The 27,131-nt window shown below is 34.6% G+C and overlaps 3 long non-coding RNA genes across 3 annotated transcripts in view; 2 read left to right on the plus strand and 1 right to left on the minus strand.

The window, feature by feature from the left end:
- LOC105369896 (uncharacterized) overlaps nt 1–27,131 on the minus strand; it is a 361,170-nt gene that overhangs the window by 32,365 nt on the left and 301,674 nt on the right. The window lies entirely within an intron of this gene.
- Nucleotides 798–7,865, plus strand: LOC107984544 (uncharacterized). The gene is made up of 3 exons (XR_001749252.2): nt 798–885; nt 6,867–6,978; nt 7,757–7,865. It is a non-coding gene; the product is annotated as an uncharacterized LOC107984544 (long non-coding RNA).
- LINC02823 (long intergenic non-protein coding RNA 2823) overlaps nt 18,337–27,131 on the plus strand; it is a 41,681-nt gene continuing 32,886 nt past the window's right edge. The window contains exon 1 of the long non-coding RNA NR_183611.1: nt 18,337–18,631. This is a non-coding gene — a long non-coding RNA (long intergenic non-protein coding RNA 2823). The remainder of the gene's footprint in view (nt 18,632–27,131) is intronic.

A 27,131-nucleotide genomic window follows, 5' to 3' on the forward strand; every position in this document is an offset into this window, starting at 1 on the left:
AATTAAGACATTTTCTGGTGGTGGCAAGACAAAAAGTAGAAGGAAAACAGTCATTATGGAGGTTGCAAGTTATCTCTTTGGAAATGGGAACCCTTGCTCAGTAGAGCAGACAGAATAGGAAAGTTCATCAGATTTCAGTGGGAAAGAAAGAAGAAATGGGGGGAGTTATCTAGAGAAGTAATTAAAATAAAGGCTATAGAAAATAAGTGGATGCCTGTTGTGTTTTGAACTAAAGTGACTGGAGAAATCAATGTAGAAGGTGAGGAGGAACAGATCCTGAGTCAAAGGAGAAATGTAGAAAGAGAAGAAAAGTGTCAAAAGAGAAAGAGAAATAGCACTTAAAGGGCGTCTTTATAAATTGTCACAATGTTGATAATTTTTTTTATGATTCACTATGAAGAAGAAAAAAGATGACATCCATTCAAGTACTGACAAATTCTAACTAACTATGAAAGACTAAAGAGAAGGATTGAATTACAAGAATAAATTATTTTTTAAAGTTGGAAGTAGCGACATAAGTAATGAACATAGTAAATTAAAGTGGCAGGGTAAACAGTGAAGACCAATGAACAACCGGTTGGAAAGTATCATATAGAGAACAGAGCTAAGGACAAAGAGGATGCAGATGTAGAAATAAGAACTCCATTCATCTGGGGAAAGATTAAAAGTGTCCACTTCTCTATGGCACACCCAGTTTGGCTTCATCATTTCTTTAAGACCTTTTTTTTTTTTTTCATCATTGCCAACAGAATACTAACATTTTTCTCTTTACTCCTTTTCCTCCAGGTCCTCATAGATAATTTATTGAGCAATCTGATAACTAAATTTGAGTTATGAAACTAATGCTTAAGAGTATTTTCTATTTCATTTCTTCCAGATATGTTGGTAAGACCCGTTCATATTTGTTTCCAAGTCATAAAGACCAAATCATGTTTACAGGGTCATAAAGGAGATAACTTCATTTTGAGAATATTTTCAGTTGTGTGTACTCTCTGAAAAGAAGATTAATTCTATGTGATAGGGACCAGTGTAATTTTTAAACACTAATTGGGCTTGGTCCATATCCAATTCTGCCATTACTCAATGTTCTCAAATTTATTTCAGAGTTTATCAGAGGAAGGGAAAGGAAATTATCCAAAAGCAAATGACTATTGGAATCATTACTGATTATGTTGTATCTCATTAAAGAAACGTTTGAGTAATGCAGAAAAGTAGGTCAGAAGTATAATGGCTGTCATGTTTAGGACATAAAGCAAGATGATCAAGCATGGGTATAATTTTAAAAGTAATAATTTTAGCAGAATGTAGGCATGGAAATAGCTGGTAACTTTTACAATAGTCATTAGAGTAGATATCACAATGATGTTAGTGCTCAAGACATTTTTGAAACACTTTCAGAAAATTTTCATCAGGATCAGTTCACAAGTCATGCAAAAAAAATGTTCCCATAAAATCACGATTGCCTAAATATTTGTATATTCTCACCATAGCATCTCAATCTTTATTTTTAAAAATAAACAAATAAAAATGCTTATTGTTGAAAGTGCACCTGAGTAAACATAGGTGAAGGGATCAACTTGAAGTATCAGAATAAAAGTCTAAGTAACATTGAACAGAGTTTTTAATTTGAATTGCTTTAAGGACCATATTTCTTAACTTCTTACTGGTAGTGCTGCCTATTGCAAGAACTTTACAAGGCAAGAAAGAAAAAAAAAACTTGATTCATGATTTATTTGAAATAAACAGAATAATATATTTCCTTGGTCATGAAAAGGAAATATTCTGCAAAATATTTTGAAACAACATATTTATTAATGCACTCTTGTCAAAACAGAAAGTTGTATAGTAAACGACATTTCTGGCAATATTGAAGAGTTGTTGTTCAAGCTAGAAACCACAATATGTTTCCTTCTCAGCATAAACAAGATGGAATCCTTGTATACGCTTATCACTCTGATGCCCACTATAGTAGAATTTGGGTATTATGTTGCATGTCTATTATTGTGTTAATTAACATAATATTTTTGTGTTCTTTCTTTCACACAAAATGGTGGATCCACAAAAATGGTGGATCAAAACCATTTGATATGAAATTATTTTCCTTTACATAGGAAGTATTGATCATAACCACATGTGTAAATGATTACATCTTTGTTATAAAACTTTAATTACAAATTTCCTGATTGATTAAAAATTATCACAAGCTCAAATTAAGAAGATGTCAATAAAATGTTTATTTATTCAATAAATTCCCCTTAAATATTTATATGAGATGTCCTTCTGACTTGTATTGTACATTAAGATTTTTTGGCAATTGTTTTGGGACAAGCCAAGGAGAAATGGAATAGTACTAGGGGTTTAACAAAACGGCTGTCTTTGCATTTCATCTACAAACAGAGTCTATATAACATTCATCCCTGGCAAAGAAGTTAATATTCCCTAGAAGAGAAAAATATTTAAGTCTTTAATTAATCTTAAGTAGATTTTTGTATATGGCATAAGGAAGGGATCTAGTTTCAGTCTTCTGCATATGGCTAGCCAGTTATCCAAGCACCATTTATTGAATAGGGAGTCCTTTCCCCATTGTTTGTTTTTATCACCTTTGTTGAAGATAAGATAATTACAGGTGTGCAGCCTTATTCCTGGGATCAAAACCCAAACTATAAAAACCCTGGAAGAAAACTTACGCAATACCATTCTGGAAATAGGAACAGGCAAAGATTTTATGATGAAGATGTCAAAAGCAATCGTAACACAAGCAAAAATTGACAAATGGGATCTAATTAAATTAAAGAGCTTCTGCACAGCAAATAAACCATCAACAAAGTCAACAGATAACCTACAGAATGGGTGAAAATTTTTGCAAATTATGTATCTGACAAAGGTCTAATATCCAGCATTTATAAGGAACTTACACAAATTTCAAGAAAAAAAACAAAGAGCCCAATTAAAAAGTGGACAAAGAACACTCCTTCTTTTCCAAAAGAAGAAATACATGTGGCAAACAAATATATGGAAAAAAACCCTCATCATCACTGATCATTAGAGAAAGGGAAATCAAAACCACAATTAGATACCATCTAACACTAGTTAGAATTGCTATTATTAAAAAGTCAAAAAATAATGCATGCTGGTGACATTGCAGAGAAGAAGGAACACTTATACACTATTGGTAGGGGTGTAAATTAGTTCAAACATTGTGGAAAACAGTATGGAAATTCCTCAAAGACCTAAAAAACAAAAATACCATTTGACCCAGCAATCCCATTACTGGGTATATACTCAAAGGAATATAAATTATTCTATCACAAAGACACATGAGTGCACATATTCATTGTAGCACTACTCACAATAGCAAAGACATGAAATCAACCTAAATGCCCATCAGCAGTGATAGACTGGAAATTGAAAATGTGATACACATACACCATGCAATACTATGCAGCCACAAAAAAACAAAAAACAAAAAACAAAAAACAAGATCATGTTCTTTACAGGAACATGGATAGTGCTGTAGACCAATTATCCTTAGCAAACTAATACAGGAACAGAAAACCAAATACTGCATGCTCTCATTTATAAGTGAGAGCTAAATAATAATGAGAACACATGGACATGTAGAGGGGAGTGGGAAGAGAAAAAGGATCAGGAAAAATAACTAATGTGTACTAGGCTTAATACCTGGGTGATGAAATAATCTGTACAACAAGCCCCCATGACATGAGTTTACCTAAATAACAAACCTGCACATAAACCCCTGAATTTTAAATACGTTTTAAAGAAGGCGAGATAAATAGATCTGGGTGTGTGTGTATAATCTGGAGGAATGAAAAGGATATGTACTGTCTTTTTGAGGAGGTGGTGTAACCACGTGGTTGACTACTGGTTTTTGATTTACAGACCGGGTATCAGGCCAACACTTTCCCACTGAGGAGCACTGTGACTTTGAGAAAGTTACTTAAGCTCTTTGAGTCTTGTTTCTCAAATATCAAATATGGGCAATAGCAACCTTCTCAAATTGTCATTATAAATAATTATTAAGATAATACATGAAAAATGCCCACCATAGTACTATGTCTTACCTTTAGCAGAAGCCACAAAACAAAAAACTGATTTCAGGAGTTACTGAGGGAGGGGAGGAAATAGTCATACACACACTTGCCTCTATTTCTACTTTGGCAAAAAGTGGCATATGGTTATAAAGACCAAACATTTCTATGACAGGATTCATTCCTTCAACAGAAAACAGTTTAGGTGAGGTTTGGACTCTATATAAAGGAGGGGTCAGATTGCATTTTATTTAGAAACTAATAAAGGATTTGAAGCAGTCAAGGGGCATGCTATGTTTATAATAATTATTTTGGCTTCTATGTGTAGAAATATTTGAAGGACGGCAAGACTGGAAAGAGGAAGGTAAGTTAGGAAACTACTACAATTGCTGAGGCAAATGATGAAGGCAGTCAGCAGGAAGAGACACGGATAGACCGGAACATGTTCTGGATGTAGAGATGACAGAAGTTACCGGTGATACAATATTGGGAGAAGAAACGTGTGCATGTTCCAGGACAATTCCTGAATTTTTAGCTTGATCCACTGGAACAGATAATGATGCTATTTAATAAAAATGGAAGTGACAGAGAGAAGCAGGTTGAGGAAGAAATTAATTAATACAAAGTTTGAGATGCTTACTGAGTACCCAAAGCTGTCAAGGAGACAGTTGAACATACATTTAGAAGGGGGGACAAGTTGGAAATAAAAACACTGGAGTCATCCAAATATAGTTAGCCTTTTAAAGTCACTCAATTACTAGAGCTAAACCAGGAGGCATAGAAGCAAGTAGGAAATTCAGAATGCTCAGATGTTTAGAGGTTGACAAGCTAAGAGCCAACAGAGGAAATGAGAGAGAAAGTGGCTGGCAAAGAATAAGAAAGCCAGAAGGGCAAGTGGTGTCACAGAAAGCCAGACAAGAAAGTGCCTCTTAAAATAGGGAATGGACATCAGCCTCAGTGCTGTGAAAGGGCAATAAATGAGATGGTATGAGAAAAACACCTATTACACTTCCAGACATGTAGCAGGTATTCAGTAAATGTTACTTCCCTTAACTTTCTGTTTTCTTTCTAACAGTGTTTAGTGGTTAAGAGTGTAGGCATAGGAGCTGATCTGCCTGAGTTCAAATTCTTCCTCTGCCATTCCATAACTGTGTGACCTTAGGCAAGTCATTTAACTTCTCAGTACCTTAGTTTCTATATTTTATTTTTATTTTTTGGGGATGGAGTCTCCCTCTGTCACCCAGGTTGGAGTGCAATGGCACCATCTCGGCTCACTGCAGCTTCGGCTCACTGAACCCTCAACTGGGTTCAAGCAATTCTCATGCCTTAGCCTCCTGAGTAACTGGGATTACAGGCACATACACCATGCCTGGCTAATTTTTGTATTTTTAGTAGAGACCAGGTTTCACCATGTTGACCAGGCTGGTTTCAAACTCCTGACTTCAAGTGATCCTCCTTCTTTGGCCTCCCAAAGTGCTGGGATTACAGGCGTAAACCACCACACCCAACCAGTTTCTATATTTTAAAATGGAGGTACCAATAGTGCTTAATTCACAGGGATGCAGCTAACATGTTGCAATCAATCAGTAATGTTAATTACTATTTCCTTTCATAATTGTTTTTTAAAAGTATACAATAGGTATAATTTTTTTCAATTTTCATAATTTTTACTTGGCTAAGTGTCTTAATTATCTCAATTATATTTCCATGGCCAGTGAGATAATAAGCAAAGCCCACCCTTTCTTTTCACATTGTACAGATATCCACTTTTTAAACATGTTTAATTGACATATAATAATCCTATATTTTTACAGGGCACAATGAGATATTTTGATGTATATGCATACAGTGTATACTGTAGAATATTACAATTAAATCAAGCTAACATATCTATCACTTCACCTATTTTTTATTTGTAGTGAGAACACTTAAAATCTACTCGTTGAACAATTTTGAAATACACAATATATCACTATTAAGTATAGACATCATGCTGTTCAATAGATCACTGAAATGTATTTCTCCTGTCAAACTGAAGCCTTGTACCCTTTGGTCAACATCTCTCCTTCCCCTATTTTCCCACTGCCTCTCCCAGTCCCCAGCTCCTGGTAACCACCATTCTACTCTACTTCTGTGAATTTGAATATTTTAGATTATACATGTAAGTGAGATCATGCAGTATTTGTCTTCCTGTGCCTGGCTTATTTCACTTAGCATAATGTTTTCTAGTTCATCAGTGTTGAAACAAATGACAGAATTTCCTCCTTTTTTAAGGCTATATAGTGTTCCATTGTGCATATATAACACATTTTCTTTATCAGTTCATCTATTGATGGACACTGAGATTACTTTCCTATCTTGGCTATTGTGAACAATGCAGCAATGTACATGGGAATACAGATTATCTTTTCAACATACTGATATTGATTCTCTTGAATATATAGCCAGAAGTGGGATTGCTAGATCATATGATAATTCAATTTTCAGTTTTTTCAAAATCCTGTTTTTCATTATGGTTGTACTAAGTTATATTCCCACTAACCATTTACCATGATTCATTTCTCCACCTCCTAATGTTTATATTTTATTTTCTGAATAATAGCCATTCTAATAAGTGTTAGGTGATATTCTGTTGTGGTTTAATTTGCATTTTCCTGATGATTAGAGATGTTGAGCATTTTTTCATATATCTAGTCACCTTTTATATTTCTTCATTTAAGCAATGTCTCTTGAGGTTTGCCTTAATTCATTTGTGCTGACATAATAAAATACTACAGACTTGATCATTTGTAAATAACAGTAATTTGTTTTTCACAGTTCTGGAGCTATGTAAGTCCAAGATCAAGGCATCAACAAGTTCCATGGCTGGCGAGGGCTGCCCTCTGCTTCCAAGATGGTGCATCATTGCTGTGTCCTCACATAGTGGAAGGTGAAAAGGCAAAAGGGCTGAATGCTGAATAAGCCTCTTTTTAAGGGCCTTAGTCCCATTCAGAAGAGAGAAGGCCTCATGACTAATCACCTTCTACAGGCCACACCACTTAATACTATCACACTGGTAGTTGTTTCAGCATATGAGTTTTGGGGGACAGCCAGACCATAGCAAAGTTCTTTGCCCATGTTTTAATTAATTGGGTTGTTTTCCTGTTATTGAATTGTTTAAGTTTCATATATTTTGGATATTTGTCCCTTATCAGCTATATGGTTTGCAAGTATTTTCTTTTAATCTGTAATTTTTCTTTTAACTCTTTTTTTTTTTGTTGTTGTTGTAAAGTTTTTTTAGTTTGATGAAATTTCATTTGTCTATTTTTGCTTTTGTTGACTGTGCTTTTGGGGTAATATCAAAGAAATCATTGCCTAGAACAATGTTGTGGAGCTTTTCCCCTACGTTTTTCTTCTAGTAGTTTTACAATTCTAGGTCTTAAATTTCTTTCTTTAATCCATCTTGAGTTTATTTTTGTCTTTAGTGTGAAATAAAAATCCAATGTTATTATTCTGCATTTGGATATTCTACTTGTAAAGAATACAGTTATTTTTATTGTCTGGAGTCCTGACAAGAAACAGAACTCACTTCAGATTGTTCAACTGAAAAACAAAACAAAACATTAATGTATTGTACTTTCTGAGGTATAGGAATAGCAAAAGGAGTAAATCAGGGATGGTGGAGCATGCTGAGACTAGCAACAGCTGAAAGTAATTTCCTCTCACAGGACCAAAGAGGCATGAGGAAGAAATGGTGTTACCAGCATTCACTGAGGATTAGAATTGCAAAAATGTTGCTTTCTAGTGGGAAAAAGGAAAAAAAGTTATTACCAAGGACAAGGTAATGTACAACTTCCTCTCCTCCCACCTTCCTATCTCAGTGCACTAGGACCACTGTCTGGTTAGAAGCAGAAGCCAGCTGGCAAAGAAATTACAGTGAGGCAGTTTGCAGAAATTAGCTTTCTAAGGCCCAGATGGAGCGTAGCATGGTGGAGCATAGACTAAGGGAACAATGAAAGACCATGGATGCTTTGATATTCTCTAGTGTCATGTTCATAGTCAAGTCCCAGTAAATAATACCCAGACACAAGTGATTCCTCCCAGTTTCAATATCCTCCTTCCATGCTGGTAGCCTATCTACAGTCAACACCACCAGCTTCTAAACTATGCTTTATGTCACCAAGATTTTTACAGTCATTAACCTACATGGTGTCTCCTTAGCACTTTGCTTCTAATTAAAATATATATACTGATATATGTTGTATATATATTCAGTTGCAAAAGTGTTTACAAATTATTAAAGTTACATGCATGATCCAAACTCTTCTGCAAAATAAGCCAAAACTCTTGTTTGTTTTCAAGATCTGGACAGAATTCCTTGATTTGACTACATCCCACAAGAATGCTTTCATTCCTGCTTTTTACTGGAAACTTTTAAACTGTTGACACCACGGATTTTAAAAAATAAACAGATGGGCATAGCTTCATGACTTCATTTTATATTGTAAATATAAATATTCAGAGAGATAAAAGACAATGTCTCTATTTTTAATGTTTGTAAATTTAAAAATTTGCCGACATCATTTTATCCATATATACTTTGCTTGGCTTTTGTCCCTTAATAGATCTATAACTGTGTTGGGAAGTTGTTTAATCATAAGTCATTCTAGGTAAGTTAGAGTTTTAAAAAAATAAAAATGAAAGAATTAAAAAAAAAATAACCCTGATGTCAAGATAAGTAAAAATGTGAGATTAGCAAAACTGATTACAGTCACGGTAGAAAGAACATAAATCCTTTTCAATAATTTTTTTCTTTATTAAAAAAAACCCCTTTTCTCACTTTACAGGGGAAAAAAAGGGTATTTGGCATACAGTAGTACTGGACGTTATCCAGAGAAGAGTTTTTTTCAGAACTTGGTCCCTTTTCTAATCTGAACAAGTTCAAGCTACAGCAAAATTACAGTTTCCCAGTCTCCTTTTAATTTCCAATTTTTGTTAAAAAGGAACCTCAGAAGATATTGACTTCGTACTACTAAATTTGAGACAGGGCAGGTTAGAAATGTTTGCAATTTAACTAATATCAGTAACCTAATGGTGATGAACAAAATTTATATGTAGATGGAAAAATTTAAGCTAGTAAACACTATTTTGTCGTTTTTAATTGAGATGGATTTTTACATTTTTTTTTGTTCTAAATGGATATTTTACCATCACAAAACGGATGGTAATTATAAATTACATTTTGCCCAACATGGAATCAGAAAAAAGAAAAGACTTTTCATGATGCATCAATAAATAATGATTACATATCAGCTGAGCACAAAATCATGGGTCAAAATTAATAAATACAAATAATTTATGTTTTCATTTTCTGTGTATCAGATTTTGTTGTTGTTGTTCAAGAGTAATTTGTCCAAAATTTGTTTCCACATAATTTGATTACATTTATATTTTAGGGAGAATTCTTATAGTCTGGTTGGTGCTTTGCTCATGTCAAAGACATGTAATAAGCAAGTCATACACTTTGGGATCTCAATTTCTCTACAGAGAGTGGAGCCCTAAAATGGATGAATAATGAGACAAATAGTACTATAACACTGAGCAACAGGTGCCATAAGTATACATAGACTAATGTGAGCCCATATATTCAGTAAAGTTTCATGGATCTGAGACTTCAGATGATCCCACAGTGAGACTGAGTTAGCCAGTATACAGATCACATAAGTAAAAATTTTTTGGAAGAAAATTTTCTAAGGTGATGATCTGACAACTTTGGTTTCTAAAATATTTTTAAAGTAATAACTCAGATTTAGAATTTGTTTCTTGTATACACAATTTTCTTTGAATACTAAGAGCCACACATCTCAGTGTGATCAAGATAGATACTTTTTAAAAAATGTGAAATTGGCTACTTAAAATATGTGATGTGGCTTTGAGAGAGAGAGAGAGACCTGTGAGTTGGAAGCTTGGTCTAGAGAAAGTCTGCTCTGTATCCCTTCTGTCTATGGAAAGATTCTCAAGCCACAGAACAAATACAAATAATTCCAGCTGAAATAACTACAAATAGCATTCTAATTATGCATCCAATTTCCAGGCAAATATTATTTAAGAATATTGCAGTATTTTCTAATGCTATATAACATAGGTTGGGATACATTTTAATAGTAGAAATTTACTCTTCAGCTGAACAGGTATTTTCCCTTATTTTTATAGCTAGTATCAGAATTTGTTTATTTTGTAAAATTTCCAGCTCTAGCCTTTTTAGCAACCATAAAAATCCTCAAGAAAATGACACATTTTATCTTTAACCAAAATATTTTGTTTTCCAAAACTGTTTTCACTAGTGATATTATAGCAAGTAATATTTTGATCAAAGCTTTGTCACATAACCTATAAGAAAAAAAATTACCAACTACTATGCTTTTCTCACTAGATACTTAAAGAAAACTGAGAAAAATAGAATACCAACAGTATCGTTTTATTTTCCACCTAATTTTTCAGATGAGAGTATTAAAGTCCAGTGTAATACAGTATTTTGCCCAAAGCCACACAGCTAGAAAATATTTTCCTATGAAGAAGTCCATTTGTTTCACTATACTGGGCAGTATATGTTAATTGAATGCATAAATGCACTTTTGTTATACAAGAATGGTATATTTGAAATGCATGAATAGAGCTTTTGTTTATGAGAACCTTTGAATTCTAAGATCCTAGAGGAAATCCTTAAAAGAGAGGAGCAAATGAATTGTAGATATAAAGGACAAAATTCTCCAAATTAAAATTGATGGATTGGTAACTATCATTCTACTCAATTTCTATAAGTTTGGCTTTTTAAGATTTTACATATAAGGTAATATGCTATTTGTCTTTCCATGCCTGGCTTATTTCACATAACATAATGTCCTCTAGGTTCATTTATACTGTCACAAATGACAGAATTTCCTGTTTTAGTAAGGCTGAATAGTATTCCATTGTGCATATATATCGCATTTTAAAAAACTCATTCATCTTTTGATGGACATTTAGGTTGTTTCCATCTGTGGCTGGGGGAGGAGGTGGTCAGGGAAAGGGGAGATGTTGGTCAACAAGTACAAAGTTAGTTAGATAGAAGAAATAAACTCAGGCATTCTATTGCACAGCAAAGGTGACTATAATTAATAATAATGTATTGTATATTTCAAAATAACCAAAAGAGAATTTAAACTGTGTCCATTGCAAAGAAATAATACATATTTGAGGTAATAGATATGTTAACTAGTCATTTGATCATTTCACTATAATTAATAATGTATTGTGTATTTCAAAATCACTAAAAGAATTTAAAATGTGTCCATTGCAAAGAAATAATAAATATTTGGGGTGATAGATATGTTAATTAGCCATTTGATGATTTCACAATGTATACATGCATCGAAACATCATATTGCACCCTATAAATATATACAATTATTATTTGTCAATTAAAAATAAAAAGAAAACAAAATTGATAGATTGGAAAGAAAGGAGTATTGATCACTAAAAGTAGAAGAGAGAAGATTTGTGTTGGTTTATTTATTTATTGTTTGTTTGTTTGTTTTGGCAGGAGAGTATGACAAAGTCAAAAGAATGGTGTGATTAGGCAGGCTTCATGAAGACCTGAAAAGAATTTTCTAAAAATGTTGCTGTCAATTAAATCCTGTACAGTGAATTTGCTGATTAGGATAAGAAAGATGGCCACACTCACTATTCACAATAGCAAAGACTTGGAACCAACCCAAATGTCCATCAATAATAGACTAGATTAAGAAAATGTGGCACATATACACCATGGAATACTATGCAGCCATAAAAAAGGATGAGTTCATGTCCTTTGTAGGGACATGGCTGAAGCTGGAAACCATCATTCTGAGCAAACTATTGCAAGGACAGAAAACCAAACACCACATGTTCTCACTCATAGTTGGGAATTGAACAATGAGAATACTTGGACACAGGGCGGGGAACATCACACACTGGGGCCTGTCATGGGGTGGGGGCATGGGGGAGGGATAGCATTAGGGGAAATACCTAATGTAAATGATGAGTTAATGGGTGCAGCAAGCCAACATGGCACATGTATACATACGTAACAAACCTGCACGTTGTGCACATGTACCCTAGAACTTCAAGTATAATAATAATAAAAAAAGAAAGATGGCCACACTATTGGAAGTTTCTATTGATGAAGATAAAGGTAATCTCTAACTAGGTTTATTTTGTAAGTAAATGCAGCACCATCTCACTTTAATACAAGTTGGGACTAAAAGTATTGCAAGTAGCACAGAGTACCCCTTCAAAACATAAAACTTAACATTTGACTGATAACTTGTATGTGTGGGAGGAATTCTCTATCATACTCTTTCTTAGGAGGCCGTACTGAGTGACATATGGTTTATGTGGTACATTTACAAATAATATGGTTCAGAGACAGTATAGGGTTCTGTTAAGGCCACTTGACTGATGGAGTGGTGCCACCAAATTTCCAAGCAAGGAATGTTGCAAAGAGAAAATATATAAGACCCAGAATTAGGATAACATCTGGATTTGGGTGTGCCTAAACGGATCATGCTTTTATGCAGAAAGTCATGGGAAGTGCCCAAACTGAAAAGTTGCGGGTTACTGACGCTGCTCCGATTGCCTGCACACAGTGTAATCCCATCCATCTGCCAATCGACAAGAATTAGATCCATATATATGCATAATATATATACACATATATATGCATATATGTATATGGATCTTAAACATAAATGAATTATCTTTCTCTATAGATATATGGTATTGCTTTCTATATAGAAAGAGCATTCATTTGTGTTTAAGTTCTGACAACCCCTAAGATTTCAAAGTATTTTCAATGTATTGATGGAACATCAGGAAGCACAGATCAGTTCAACCCAGGAGCGTTTTACCACTTAGTTTAGAGCTCCGAAGAGAAGTCTGGGTAAAAAACACAAATATAATTCTGTCTTTATTCAAGAAAATTCTAAAAATTGAACTTACAAAAAAGAGAATGTCGATATATATACAAGGCACGACTTATTCGATAGTTCCTTGGAAGATGTTGGAAAAAATTAGAAAGTTGGCATAAACCAATCTCTACCATGGGGTTGGTAATAGAGAGATTAGAAAGTGCATTGGACATATTGGACTTGAAGTTAAAAACATGTATTCCAGTTTGAAGATATGTTTTTTATCTTCTGTATTTTTATTGTTGTTGTTTGTTTTGTTTTCGGGAGACAGAGTCTCACCCTATCCCCCAGGCTGGAGTGCAGTGGCGCAATCACGGCTCACTGCAATCTCCCCCTCCCAGGTTCAAGCAATTCTCATGCCTCAGCCTCCTGAGTAGCTGGGCTTACAGGCGCCCACCACCATGCCTGGGTAATCTTTATATTTTTAGTAGGGTTTCGCCATGTTGGCCAGGCTGGTCTCGAACTCCTGACCTAAGGTGATCCTCCCACCTCCCAAAGTGCTGGGATTACAGGCATGAGCCACTGTACCCAGCTATCTTCTGTATTATTTTGGGCAAGTCACTTCACCCCTCAGAATAAACTTCCATCTCATCATATACACAGTTAAGCTAATAATACTTGCTTTTGCTACTTCAAATGGTCTGAGGAGATCATTCCTATCTCGGTTGAACTCTGGAGATGTGTTTGCTCCTGCCTGGTTTATTATTATATAGCATCTTCTGTGTCTTCCTTTTTAGTTGCCTGGTACAGTGCCTGTTGTACAGTACACATTTAACAGACACTGCAAAATTTGTATAACTGTATAATTGTATAACACACACAAGAGGAAATAAATAGAGTACTCAAAAAGATTTGTTGTGAACTCTAAAAAGTGAAAAGTATTAGAGAAGTCCAAAGTAGAGAAGAAACAGAGTGGGAGAAGGCATAAGAAGACATTAACCTGATAATTTTCCATGGCTGGTTGTAAATTTTCTTATGAACCCAAACAAATTATGAAACAAATATTTTCAGCTATTACACACTGGATTAGCCTATCACACTATGTAACTGACCTTGTGTTATACTCTCTTTATACTCTCTACAATTAATGATCAATCTATAACACTGCTGTCCAAGAGAGCTTTCAGCAATGATGGGAAGTTCTACAAGCATATCTTGGAGATATTGTAATTTTCATTTTAAAGCACATATTACAGGAAAGTGAGATGCACAATTTTTTCAGTTTTCCAGTGCATATACAAGTTATTTGCAAACTATATTACAGTCTATTAAGTGTGAAGTTGCACTATGTCTAAAAAATCTACATATATTAATTTTAAAATACTGTATTGCTTAAAAATGATAATCATCTGAGCCTTCAGCGAATCATAATCTATTTGCCAGTGGAGGATCTTGTGTCAGTGTCGATGGCTGCTAATCAATCAGGGTGGGGTTGCTGAAGGTTGACATGCCTGTGGAAATTTCTTAAAATGAGACAGCAATGAAGTTTGCCCCATTGATTGACTCTTCGTGTCCCAAAAGATTTATCTAGCATGTGATGCAGTTTGGCAGCATTTTACCCACAGTGGAACTATTTCAAAACTGGAGTCAATATTCTCAAACCCTGCTGCTGCTTTATCAATTAAGTTTATGCAATATTCTAAGTCCTCTGTTCAACAACATTCATAGCAACCTCACCAGGAGTAGATTCCATCTCAAGAAACCACTTTCTTTGAACATCTACAAAAAGTAACTTCTCATTTGTTAGTTTTATTATGAGATTGCAGCAATTCAGTCACATCTTCAGGCTCTACTTCTAATCCTAATCTCTAGTTAACTTCCTCCAGTGAAATCTTGCACTTCTCAAAGTCATCTATGACGGATGGATGAATAAACTCCTGTTAATCTTGACATTTTGAATTATGAATGTTATGGATGGTATCTAGAATGATAAGTCCTTTCCAGAAGGTTTTCAATTTATTTTTCCCAGATCCATCAGAGGAATCAGTTAATGGCATTGATGGCCTTACAAAATGTGTTTCTTAAATGACAAGACTTGAAAATCAAAATTACTCCTTGATCCATAAGCTGCAGAATGAATGTTGTGTTAGCAGGAATAAAAACAACATCAATCTCCTTGTACATCTTCAACAGAGCTCTTGAGTAACTAGGTGCATTGTCAATGAACGGTAATATTTTTAAATGAATCTTTTTTACTGAGCAATAGATCTCAAAAGTGGGATTAAATATTCAGTAAACCATGCTGTAAACAGGTGTACTGCCATCCAGGCTGTGTTGTTGCATTTACAGAACACAGGCAGAGCCAATTTAACATAATTCTTAAGGGCCCAAAGATTTTTGGAATGGCAAATTAGCATTGGCTTCAAATTAAAATCACAAGATGCACTAACCCCTAACAAGAGAGTAAGCCTGTCCCTCGTAGATTTGAACCAGGCATTGACTTCTCCTCTCTTGGTATGCAAGTCCTATACAGCATTTCTTCCAATAGAAGACATTCATCTTCATTGAGAATCTGTTGTTTAACGTAGTCACCTTCATGGATTATTTTAGCTTGATCTTCTGGATAACTTGCTTTGGCACCGTGGCTTCACTTTGTACTTTTATGTTATGGAGATGGTTGCTTTCCTTAAGCCTCATGAACCAACCTCTGCTAGCCTCAAACTTTTCTTCTGCAACTTCCTTACCTCTCTCAGCCTTCATAGAATTGAAGAGAGTTTGGGCCTTGCTCTAGATTAGGCTTTTGTCTAAGGGAATGATGTGGCTGGTTTAATCTTCTATCCAGACCACTAAAATCTTTCCCATACTAGCAATAAGGCTGTTTCACTTTCTCGTATTTCTGTGTTCACTGGAGTAGCACCTTTTTTTTTTCTTCTAGCTTCTTTTTCTTTTTTTTATTTTATTATTATTATACTTTAAGTTTTAGGGTACATGTGCACAATGTGCAGGTTAGTTACATATGTATACATGTGTGTGTAGCACTTTTATTGATTGATGGATTGTTTCTTTTTGAGACAGAGTCTCACTCTGTCCCCAAGGCTGGAGTGCAATGGCGCAATCTCGACTCACTGCAACATCCGCCTCTCAGGTTCAAGCAATTCTCCTGCTTCAGTCTCCCAAGTAACTAGGATTGCAGGTGCACGCTGCCACACCCAGCTAATTTTTTTGTATTTTAGTAGAGGTGGGGTTTCAGCATTTTGCCCAGGCTGGTCTTGAACTTCTGAGCTCAGCAATCCACCCACCTCGGCCTCCCAAAGTGCTAGAATTACAGGGGTGAGCCACCACACCTGACCTGGAGTAGCACTTTTAATCTTCTTTAAGAACTTTTCTTTTGCATTCACAATTGGGCTAACTATTCGGCACAAGAGGCCTAGCTTTCAGCCTGTCTTGGCTTTCAACATGCCCTCCTCACTAAGCTTAATCATTTCTAGCTCTTGATTAAAAGTGAGAGACATGTGACTCTTCCTTTCACTTGATCATTTTAGAGGCCATTTTAGAGTTATTAGTTGGCCTAATTTCAATATTGTTGTGTCTCAGAAAATGGGGGGCCCAAGGAGAGGGAGATAAATTAAGGAGAGGAAGAAAGATGAAGGAAGGGTCAGTTGGTGGAGCTATCGTAACACACACAATATTTACTATTAAGTTCACTGTTTTATATGAGTGTGGTTCATGGCACTCCAAAATAATTACAACAGTAACATCAAAGATCACTGATCACAGTTCACCATAACAGAAATAACAAGTCTGAAATATTGTGAGAATCACCAAAATGGGACACAGAGACACGAAGTGAGCACATGTTGTTGGAAAATGGCACCAATAGACTTGCTCCATGCAGAGTTGCCACAAACTTTCAATTTGTGAAACATGCGATATCTGCAAAGCACAATAAAGTGAAGTACAATTATGCCTGTATATGTGCCCTGTTTAAATAGCAGCCACTAGCTACATGCAACTGCTAAGCACTTGAAATACGGCTAGTGCAATGGATGAACTAAATTTTTCATTTCATTTCATTTAAATTAGTTTAAAATTCAATGAAATACTCAAGTGGCCAATGGCTACTGCATTGGACAGCACAGATCTACAACTTAATGGCTAATGAATGACCATATTCATCTGTGGAGCAGAGGAGAGTGTCTAAAACAGCATAGTGACCAAAATAATACAAGCCTAAATAAAAAAGAATCATGATTTAAAAGACTACAATTTTCAAAACTATTAAGTCTTGCTTTCTGCAACTTGTGACTTAACACACCTCTTTGACAGATTCTTGTATTATTTCACCAGAAACAGAACAGAATTCAGTTGTGTTTCACTAAATACATGGCTTCATCTTTTGGGACTTGGTTTCCTCATCTGTAAAGTGAAGTGGTTGGACTTCGTTAGATCATATTTAAATTTTTCTTTCAGCTACAGAGTTTGGAAGCACATTTAAGTGAATTGCTGGGAAAAACTGTGTGTTTGATTTTAGGTCTCATCTGTGAATTCCTGTCTCATCATCAGAATCTCTCCAACATGTTTTCCTTTCCCTCTGTACTTCTGACTCCCTCTTATCTGCCCATAGTTCAAAAGATTTCTCCTGTCTGATAGATTTATCCTTCTGCATTTGTGCTGTCAAAGAGCTTTGTTTAGACAGAGTCCAGACATACTTGTGTGTTGCTTATGAATTCTAATTAAGAAGGACAACTCCACATGAGTCAAGGTTATCTTTAAAAAAATAGAACTTTAGTCTAAGATCAGAAAGGAAGAAAAACATTATAAAATAAACTTGGCAAAAAGAACTCCAAAGTTTAAACCAAACTAAGATGGGAAGCATAGGAAGCATGTTTTTCTTTCACAAAATCAGATTAATTCTTATTTGAAGGGTTCTTTGAGCATAAAGAAACTGCCATTGCAGAAATGCAGATTTCTGATGTGGCCACCTTGAGTTTGTTGAAGAAAAACAATTCTGAAAATTCACTCAGGTCCCTCTGGCTCCCCAGGTTCTTTGCACCCTGATAAAGAAAAAGATTACACATGCGCCACCTTTTGGAAAAAATGGGAATAGCAGCAAAGAGGTCAGATTCAAAGACCATTAGCTCTATTTCACCCTCAAAGGGAAAAACAAAAAGCCAAATATCATTTATTTTTATTATAATATTTAAAAGTTATATCCCCCAGAGGTTTATTAATCATGTGACATAGAACTATTAGTAAAGTCTGAATCAAAACTTGGATTTGGTTTTTCTCATTTTCAAAATGGTAATAAGTTGATTTTGCTTTAAAACAGTAAGTCTGAAATAACCACAAAATAGCAAAACACTGTCTCAAATCCTAATGTCACAGTTTTCATTTATCCTTGGTCATGGATATAGATCTACGGGGAAAATTAATTGTTTCTATTTATTCTATCCTAGTTACAATAATCCTTAACTTTAAGTATTGTACCTCCCTTTTTCTTAGTACTTAGAGTAGAAAACCAGAGAAGCAAATCCATTTATTTTACTAGAAAGAAAATTCTTACTTGTTTTATCTAGAACCATGAAAAAGAAGTGGTATCACAAATCTGCTTAGTTTTTTTGGACTTGAAGCGTAGAGTCGAAGGCTTTTGAGATTCCACAATGCTTGGGAGAAAATGTAAGTAAAATTACTGGTTACTATAGGTAAATACCTTTTACACATGTTAGGCATTAAGGCGTGCCCTCCAAAGTTATAATGACCACTGAGCAAAATATTCTGCAACTAAACAGTAGACAATGCTGACGTATAAAATGCTTCCAGGATGGAGAGGGGAGACAGCTGAATTTCATTTTAAACAGTACTGACATATCCACAAATCTGACTTAGAGATAGTTCTCACTAGACTTGCATATTGAAGTCACAATCATAAAACAATGCTCTTCATTTATTGTCTTTAAATTCTCATCTCTGTCTGAAGACCCTTTCAAACATAATAGAATAACAAAGCATAGAGGCAAATCTGAAAAATGACTGATAGCTTCTAAGTTTCTGAGTTCATTCTCCCAACATTATTTTGTTTATACAACTGACATGTATAAGAATTAAAGAGTTCTTAAAAATATTCAACTTGAGTCGTAATCCAAATCAGATTTTTCATTATTTCCTAAAAAAAGTGTTACAAAAGCTGCTGTGATTTTAAGTATAAAACGAACGCCACCCTTGTAAATAGCAGCCATAATGTTTTAAAAAATAATTCTCATTGAATATAAATGTACTGTGTTGACTTTTATATCACTCCTTTTCCCACTCTGTAAGTTTTAATGAAATTATTTTTCCTTAAAATAAATACATGAAAGATTGATTACTAAAACAGCATTATGTGTTTTATGTTCTGCCAACAGGGAGATGATAGAGTTGGGTTTAAATTCCTCAGCACGCCCTGCTGTGGTTGTCACTCATAGCTCTCCCTTTCCAAAAACCTCAAAATAGCTTATAATGCCACGTACTATATGTGGAGTAATAATTAGGCTTTCCAGGGTACTTTCTGTTGGACAATCCCTTTGGCACACACAAAAGCCATAAAATCCAGCTCTTCACACAAAGTTCTCCAGCTTTTTTTGAATGCTTTAAAGATCATAACTGTGATATCGCTTGACAACTTGGCATGGTGAAAGCTGACTAATGGGCACTTTTGAGTATGGAGTTTTATGCTTTTTCTTTTCTTCTTTTGGGGACATCTACCAGGATTTGAGAATCAAATTGATAGGATAAACCTACAATGTACAGTCCTTGAACCCTGAAAATTAATTAAAGGCAGACATGTTAAAGGTTTTAAGTTAAAACTGATTTTTGCAAAAGGAATTTGGGTCTTCAAATGAAAAGAAAACATAAAGACCTTCCAAAGAAACTTAACATTTTAAATGAGCTTCCAGAAGCCTGGAGCTCATTCCATAATAATATATTACTTTTCTAATTAGAATCCCTAATTATCTGGTGTATTCCTATGGATGCATAGAACTTTGTAATTTGGCCACTCGCCCACTCCATTTGGGGTTGCTCTTGTGAATTTAAATTGCACCCCGGTCACCACCAGATGCACCTACGACATGTGTCTTCAGAGTCTACCACACTATCAGTATAAAGTAGAGGAATTATCAGAAATGACTAGAGAAAAGAAAGGAGATTTAAATATTTATAGAGTAAAATCAGGTTGGCTTAAACCCAGGTTTTTCCAGTCAAGAAAAGGGGATAGATCTTTTTTCCTTTAGAAACATACAAACACACACAATAAAGCATTTTTATTCCCATAAGCAACTCTAAGACAAGGTCCTTCAGGACTGCCAGTTTATAATGGTGCCCTGCAGAAAATAAGAAAAAAGCTACTCATAATTATTTGTTAAACTCACTTTATCTAACCTGTAACTTCCGCTAATTCCTTGTTTATTTTGATTTATGTTTAATTAAATTTTGTTGTTTGTTTTTTTGAGATGAAGTCTCACTCTGTCGCCCAGGCTGGAGTGCAGTGGCGCAATTTCGGCTCACTGCAACCTCCGCCTCCTGGGTTCCAGCAATTCTCCTGCCTCAGCTTCCCGAGGAGCTGGGATTACAGCATGTGCCACCATGCCCAACTAAGTTTTGTTTTTTTTTTGGTAGAGACAGGGTTTCACCATGTTGGCCAGGCTGGTCTCGAACTCCTGACCTCAGGTGATGCACCTGTCTTGGCCTCCCAAAGTGCTGAGATTACAGGCGTGAGCCACTGCACCTGGCCATGATATATGTTTAATTAAAATTAACACAGGGCATGATAAAAAAACAAAATAAGCATAAATTACTTATTTAACCTATGTACCCATAATGTTCCCAGTTGTTTTCAGCTCAGTTTAAAAATTGGTCTAATTTGTAGCTAATTTTTATGTACTGGCCTGCATATGTTTAAATAGTGGAATAAGCAAACATCTAAACGTGACATTTAAAATCTATTTTGAAATTCCTTGTTCTGCTTTTTAGAAAATGACTGGATATATGTACAAGTGTATATATATACACATATATACATATATACATATATATGACTGCATGTGTGCATGATGTATGTGTATATGTGCATAATTTAGGGTTCTCGTATTTTTCACACTGTGGGCAGGAAGGGTAGGATTTAGACAATCTTGTGGCTGTTACCAGGAAATGTAGCCCTTTTTGATCTTAGTAAAACATTTTACAAATAAATGCATAAAATTAAAAATTATATTATCAAAGGGGAAAATATTAAAATACACAGGTTACTTGTCTTCACATAATTTTACAAAATAGAAAAAATATTTTAATTCTTAAAATTATATAATAAAAAAAACCGGTATAAAATAAGAGAGTTTGAGATTTGAATCTTATTTCTAACATCTTGTGTAATATTCAATATCCAAGAACCTGTGATCTTGGGAAGTTGTAGAGCCCCTGAAGCCCCAGTTTTCTAGTCAGAAACCTTATCGTTACTTTTCAATAAACACACATTCCTTCCTTCCAAAGCTTTGCAAAAAGGCACTTCCTCTAGTAGGTCCTTAGCCATAAACTCCACCCAGCTTAATTAATTATATTTTTCCTAACATACAGTAAATAAATTTAAAGTTCTCAAAAGAGCAAGTCACTTCTAAGATTCTATACAACCAAGGTATTTTATGATAGCAGCTTTCATTCATCCATTCACTCATTCATTCATTCATTCATCATTTAGTTATTTATTCAACAAATGTTCATTAAAGCTTGCGTGTGTGTGAATGAGTGTTGGATTTCTCCGCAAAGGCTGGAGCAAAGTAGAGGATGCCAGCAAGCATACTTGTCCTACTATCTCAATATCTTGTCCAGTTTTCTCTATTCATTTCACAGGACTGCATATGCACTAGGTAGTCAGAGGTGAAGAGGATGATACCCCTATAGCTGTGGGGTGTTTCACTGTTTTATAAGGGACTGAACTCATTTGAAATTGGCAGCTGAAGGAAGTCATTATTCTCAACTCAGAAAAGCCCAGAAACAAGTCCAGGCTGGTAATAAACAAAGCTATCTTCAATGTTCATGCCTCAGAAGTAGATTTTCTCAAAAGACACTGTATCTAATGTTGTATTTGTAGTTTTTTATTTTATTTCATAAAGAGAGCCTCAATATTTATAGCTTCAAGCCATATAAACTGAATTTGCCCCTACCTGTGCTACTTCTTTTTATTTTGTTTTGTTCATTGCACTATATTTTGAGGCCATTACTTTTAGGAACAGTCTTCAAAGTGTACAAACCAGTGGTTCTCAACTATCCTGTTCATAATAGTTGTATGGAGGGATTCTATTAAATGTGAACCCCAAGTTTCCACACTAAGGAGCTTCTGTTTCAGTAGTCTAGTTTGTAGCTTTCAGAATGAATATGTGTGTGTGTGTGTGTGTGTGTGTGTGTGTGTTTGTTTGTTTTATTCCTGTCTTTAGATCATACACTGAATATCAAATACAAAACAAATTTTTTAAAATTTAAGAGAGCTTTAGAATCTATCTGCTATTGTTGTTCTTCATTTTAAGATAAGCTGAAGTTTTTTTTTCTGTTATGTTGGGTGGCTCTCTATTCTGAAATGATGGCAGCTGCAGGGGGTTCGGGATAGGGTAGAAGGCTCAGTTTGGTTAAGCACTTTCTTTCAAAGTGGTTCTGTAAGCAGATATTTGGAAGTATTAATCTTACTCCTTATTGACCTTGCCATTGATATGGCTGGTCATTTAGAATAGTGGATATTAAACTTCAGTTCCAATCCTAAGAGACTACAATAAAAAATGTTGAAGTCATATAGATTGGGCCCAAAATAAAATATAAACAGTCCCCACATCTCCGTGTTGTAGACTTTGATATACAGCACTTTTAATTATATTGCCAACTCACTCTATTTCTTTTTAACCTCTGTTCCTTCCAGAGGACCCCTAATTCCTGCCAACCACCTGACTCTACCTCATTCCAACAGTTCCCAGACACCTGTCTCTCCCCTCCTCCATTCCATCTGCCGTAAAGCAGGCTCTGCAAAACAGTCATTAAAATCTTTAGAGATGCCATCTGCTGCCTAGTATTGTCTATGAATCATTTGAGGTTATAAATATTACATTTGCATTGTGTGGCCTGGGACCTCTGAAAAACTGACTCAACTAATTTAACATCATAATTATCATCATGGCCTAGAGGACTACAATATCCAAATAGTATTTCACTGGTAAGAGCGATGGCTTTTTAAAAGAGTGAAATAGACTCTTTCCTTATCATCCAATGAAACCTATCATCCAATGAAAACCATCATCCAATGAAACCCATCCCTGGATCAAAGATTCTGGAAGATACTACTGTCTTTAAGTTTTACTTAAACCAATTAAGAGCTAAAATGTAGCCAAGATTCAAAATAAATTATTTAGTGACATTGAAGATAGTTGAGTAGGAATATGGATAGATGAGTAATAGAAAATGCATAGTACATTGTAGGTTTAGTAGAAAGTGATTAAAGATAATCATTATATCATCTAGAAATTAAAGAAGCAAAAATAAACATTTTTGTCCATTCTTTTACTAAATAACAAAGATTTGTTTAGTCCCTCCATTTAGTACTATTATTTTTCTAATAATTATAAATTTAGAGTACATTTGATATAAATATTTAATTCTCAATATTAAATCATATTATCAAAAATACATATCAAAATTATTTACATAATTATATGAAGTTCTAAACTGCTTAAATGATTTAAAGGGTATGTATTTTGTATATATCTAATCATTTTCTTTCTTCTAAAATTATATATGAGTATGTAATTTTTTCAAAGAAGTTATTTTATAAAGTAAATCATAATAAGGTAATATAAATGCTTCCAAAATTAAAATACATGTTCCATATCACTTTCAACAACACAGTAGTATCTGTAATTAAATCCTGTAACTTGATAGAATAACCCTGCACCACCACCTGCTGTTGGAAACAAAAAATTTAATTTCATATATTCAACTTATAGCTATGTATAAGCTTGGTGCTAGGTATAAATCTTGGCGCTAGGTATAAATCTTCATGGGGATAAAGTAACATTATCATTATTATGGCTTTTATGGATTTTAAGGCTTCTTCATAATTTCTTGAGCATGTGTGTAGATTTTTAAGTATACTGATTCTACAAAGGAGGAAAGCAAGAAGTGGAACAAAACAAGTAAAGCCAAATAAAATAAATAAACACTTGCAATTTGAGTACTCTGCTGCACTTTGGGAAGAAGAGAACTTCATTTTTCTGCCACAGAATCTCTACAGTTTTTATTCTTAATAATTTCATATACTATCATTATTATTCCTGTGTATATTTATCACTGTTAACAGATATATTATCAATGTTTAATGCAAACGGAAAAAATGGCCTTTTCCATTAGGACAAACCTGTATTTGAATGCCAGCCCTTCTACTTGTTAGCTTCGAGCTCAGTCCGATTATTTAGCTTCTCTGAACACCAGGCAAAAGACTTTTTAAAAATTGAGATATACACATGGATCTTATAGGGTTTTATGAGATTTTTAAATATTATATGTAAAGTACCTGGGATACACATTAAGCACTGAATAAATGGCATCTCTGATTATGTTATTTTTATTCCATAATCTTTGTATGTGTCACTAAAATCTCAAATCTGGGAAGTTCAAATCTGATCAGACCATGGACAGATGTTAGAGAGATCATAAGAAGACATAAGAAATCTTATAGTTGAAATAAATATAAAGAGTGAGACTTGAGTCAGACACTCAACCAAACTTGATAAAAATACCAAATCTATAGTAAGTAAGCCTTACAGTTTCAGTCAACAATCCAACTGGGGATCATCTTGACAAGGAGGTTAGGGGAGGAGCACAGACAGTCCAAACATATGTTCATGAACATATGCAGATTCATCTGATGAAGGTCACCTTAGAAAGCTTGAGTCTCCCTCATAGACAAGCCTCTAACAGATTTTAAAGAATGGACTTTTATGTTTTCTGATATAAATTACTCATTAACTCTATAGAAAGCAGTAGTAGGCACATGTAATGATACATAAATAAAGTAGTGAGCAGGAACATCACTAAGGGAGTCTTTTATGAAAATCTAATTAAGTCAGAGAAATGAAATAAGACTATACATTTAGTACATATGAAATGAAGCAAAGGATAAATAAAAAAGAAAATAGATGGATGGACAGATAGATGAATGCAGAGACCTCAGAAAAGAAGTTTAGCAGGGTAGAAAGTAAAACTCTTCTTTACAATAAAATTCCAACTAACAAAGGTAGAACGAACGATAGAAATAGAAAAATCACTATTTGGAAACCATGCTAGTAATAATTATTTCAGGCAAGACTCATCAAAGAATTATTGCATAAAAGTATAGTGAGAAACAGGATGATTATATAATCTCAAAGTAGCTCACAACAAGATAGTTATTCATTACAAAGACAAAAATGGTAACTTTACATTAAAGAAAATTGGCTGACACCACCTTTACCAAATGGACAGTTAAATTACTGTTTCACTAAAGACAACATGCTGCACTGAGAAAAACACATCACTCCTGTTGTACTCCTGCCAAAAATACATGGCTTAAATCTAATAAGGAAACATCAGACAGACCCAAACTGAGGAACATTGTTCAAAATAACTGGTCTGTATTCTTTAAAAAAAAAGTAACTGTCATGAATGGCAAAGAAAAACTGACTGTTCTAGAGTAAAGGAAAATAAAAAGATATGAGAACTACAGGCAACATGGGATCCTGGATTGGTTTAGAATATTAGTGGTATAAATGGCTGAATTGGAATATGGCTTCTAAGTTAGACTGTAATGTTATTAATGTTAGTTTCTTGATTTTGTTTATTGTAATGTGGCTAAGTGACATAAACTGTACACTAATGTATTTAGATGTAAAGAGTATCATGTTTGTAACTTACTCTCAAGTGTTTCAGGAAAAAAATATATAACTACAGTTATATTTGCATCTATACTTATATCTACATTTGTAATCATACCTATGGAAAGGCCAGGGTTGGAAGAGAGAAATAGGGAGGAAAAGAGGAGAGGGAGAAGAAGGGAGGAAGAGTGAGAATTATAAAGCAAGCAAGAGAGGTAAAGGTTAACATTTGGAGAATCTGGGTTAGGGTATAGTATATAGGAATGCTTTGCTCTAATCTTGCAACATTTTTGTACACCTGAAATTACTTCAAAATTAAAAGTAGAAAATGATAAAGAAAGTGGAGAAGAAGGGTAAAGGACAAGGAGGAGGAGGAGAAGGAGGAAAAGCTTACTTTCAAAAAGATCTTATACCAAAATCATCTCATTTCTAGATGCTCCATAACATTAATAATATAAGTACATACTTACTGAATGAGAATAATTTGTATGGTGTATTAGCCCACGTTCATGGCACTGATAAAGACATATCAGAGACTGGGCAATTTACAAAAGAAATAGGTTTACTGCACTTACAGTTCCACGTGGCTGGGGAGGCCTCGCAATCATGGCAGAAGGTGGAAGGTACGTTTCACATGGTGGCAGACAAGAGAAGAGAGCTTGTGCAGGGAAATTCCCCTTTTTAAAACCATTAGATCTCATGAAACTTAACCATCACCAGAACAGCATGGGAAAGACTAGCCCCCATGATTCAGTCACCCCTCACTTGGTCCCTTCCACAACACGTGGGAATTCAAGATGAGATTTGGGTGGGCACACAGCCAAATCACATCATGTGGGAAAGAGAAAAAAAGATCTAGGAGCGGGAGTTTGGGATGAACTACACGTCTAATTGTACACATTTCCTGTGCTATAACTTCTATGAAGAAAAGAAACAAGCTAATTTTTGTTCACTACTGTTTATGCTGTTCCAATATAATGCCTGGCACACAGAAAATGCTTAACAAATATGTATTTATGGAACCATGTAAGATATCTACTTTATAATTGTTTTAACTCTTATTCTCCTCTTTTGCAATTGTCTTAAAATCTGCCCACTAAACATCTAGATTTCATAAATACATAACTATTCAATCTGTGTAACATTTTTAGGAGAGAACAACTAAATTGTATAAGGCAGAGAGAGCTTATATCTGAGTATTACATAGCAATGAAACATGGGCATCTCTTCACTCTCCAATCCTGACAGGATTTGTG

This window comes from Homo sapiens, chromosome 12 (assembly GCF_000001405.40).
Source record: "Homo sapiens chromosome 12, GRCh38.p14 Primary Assembly".
NCBI classification, from domain to species: domain Eukaryota; kingdom Metazoa; phylum Chordata; class Mammalia; order Primates; family Hominidae; genus Homo; species Homo sapiens.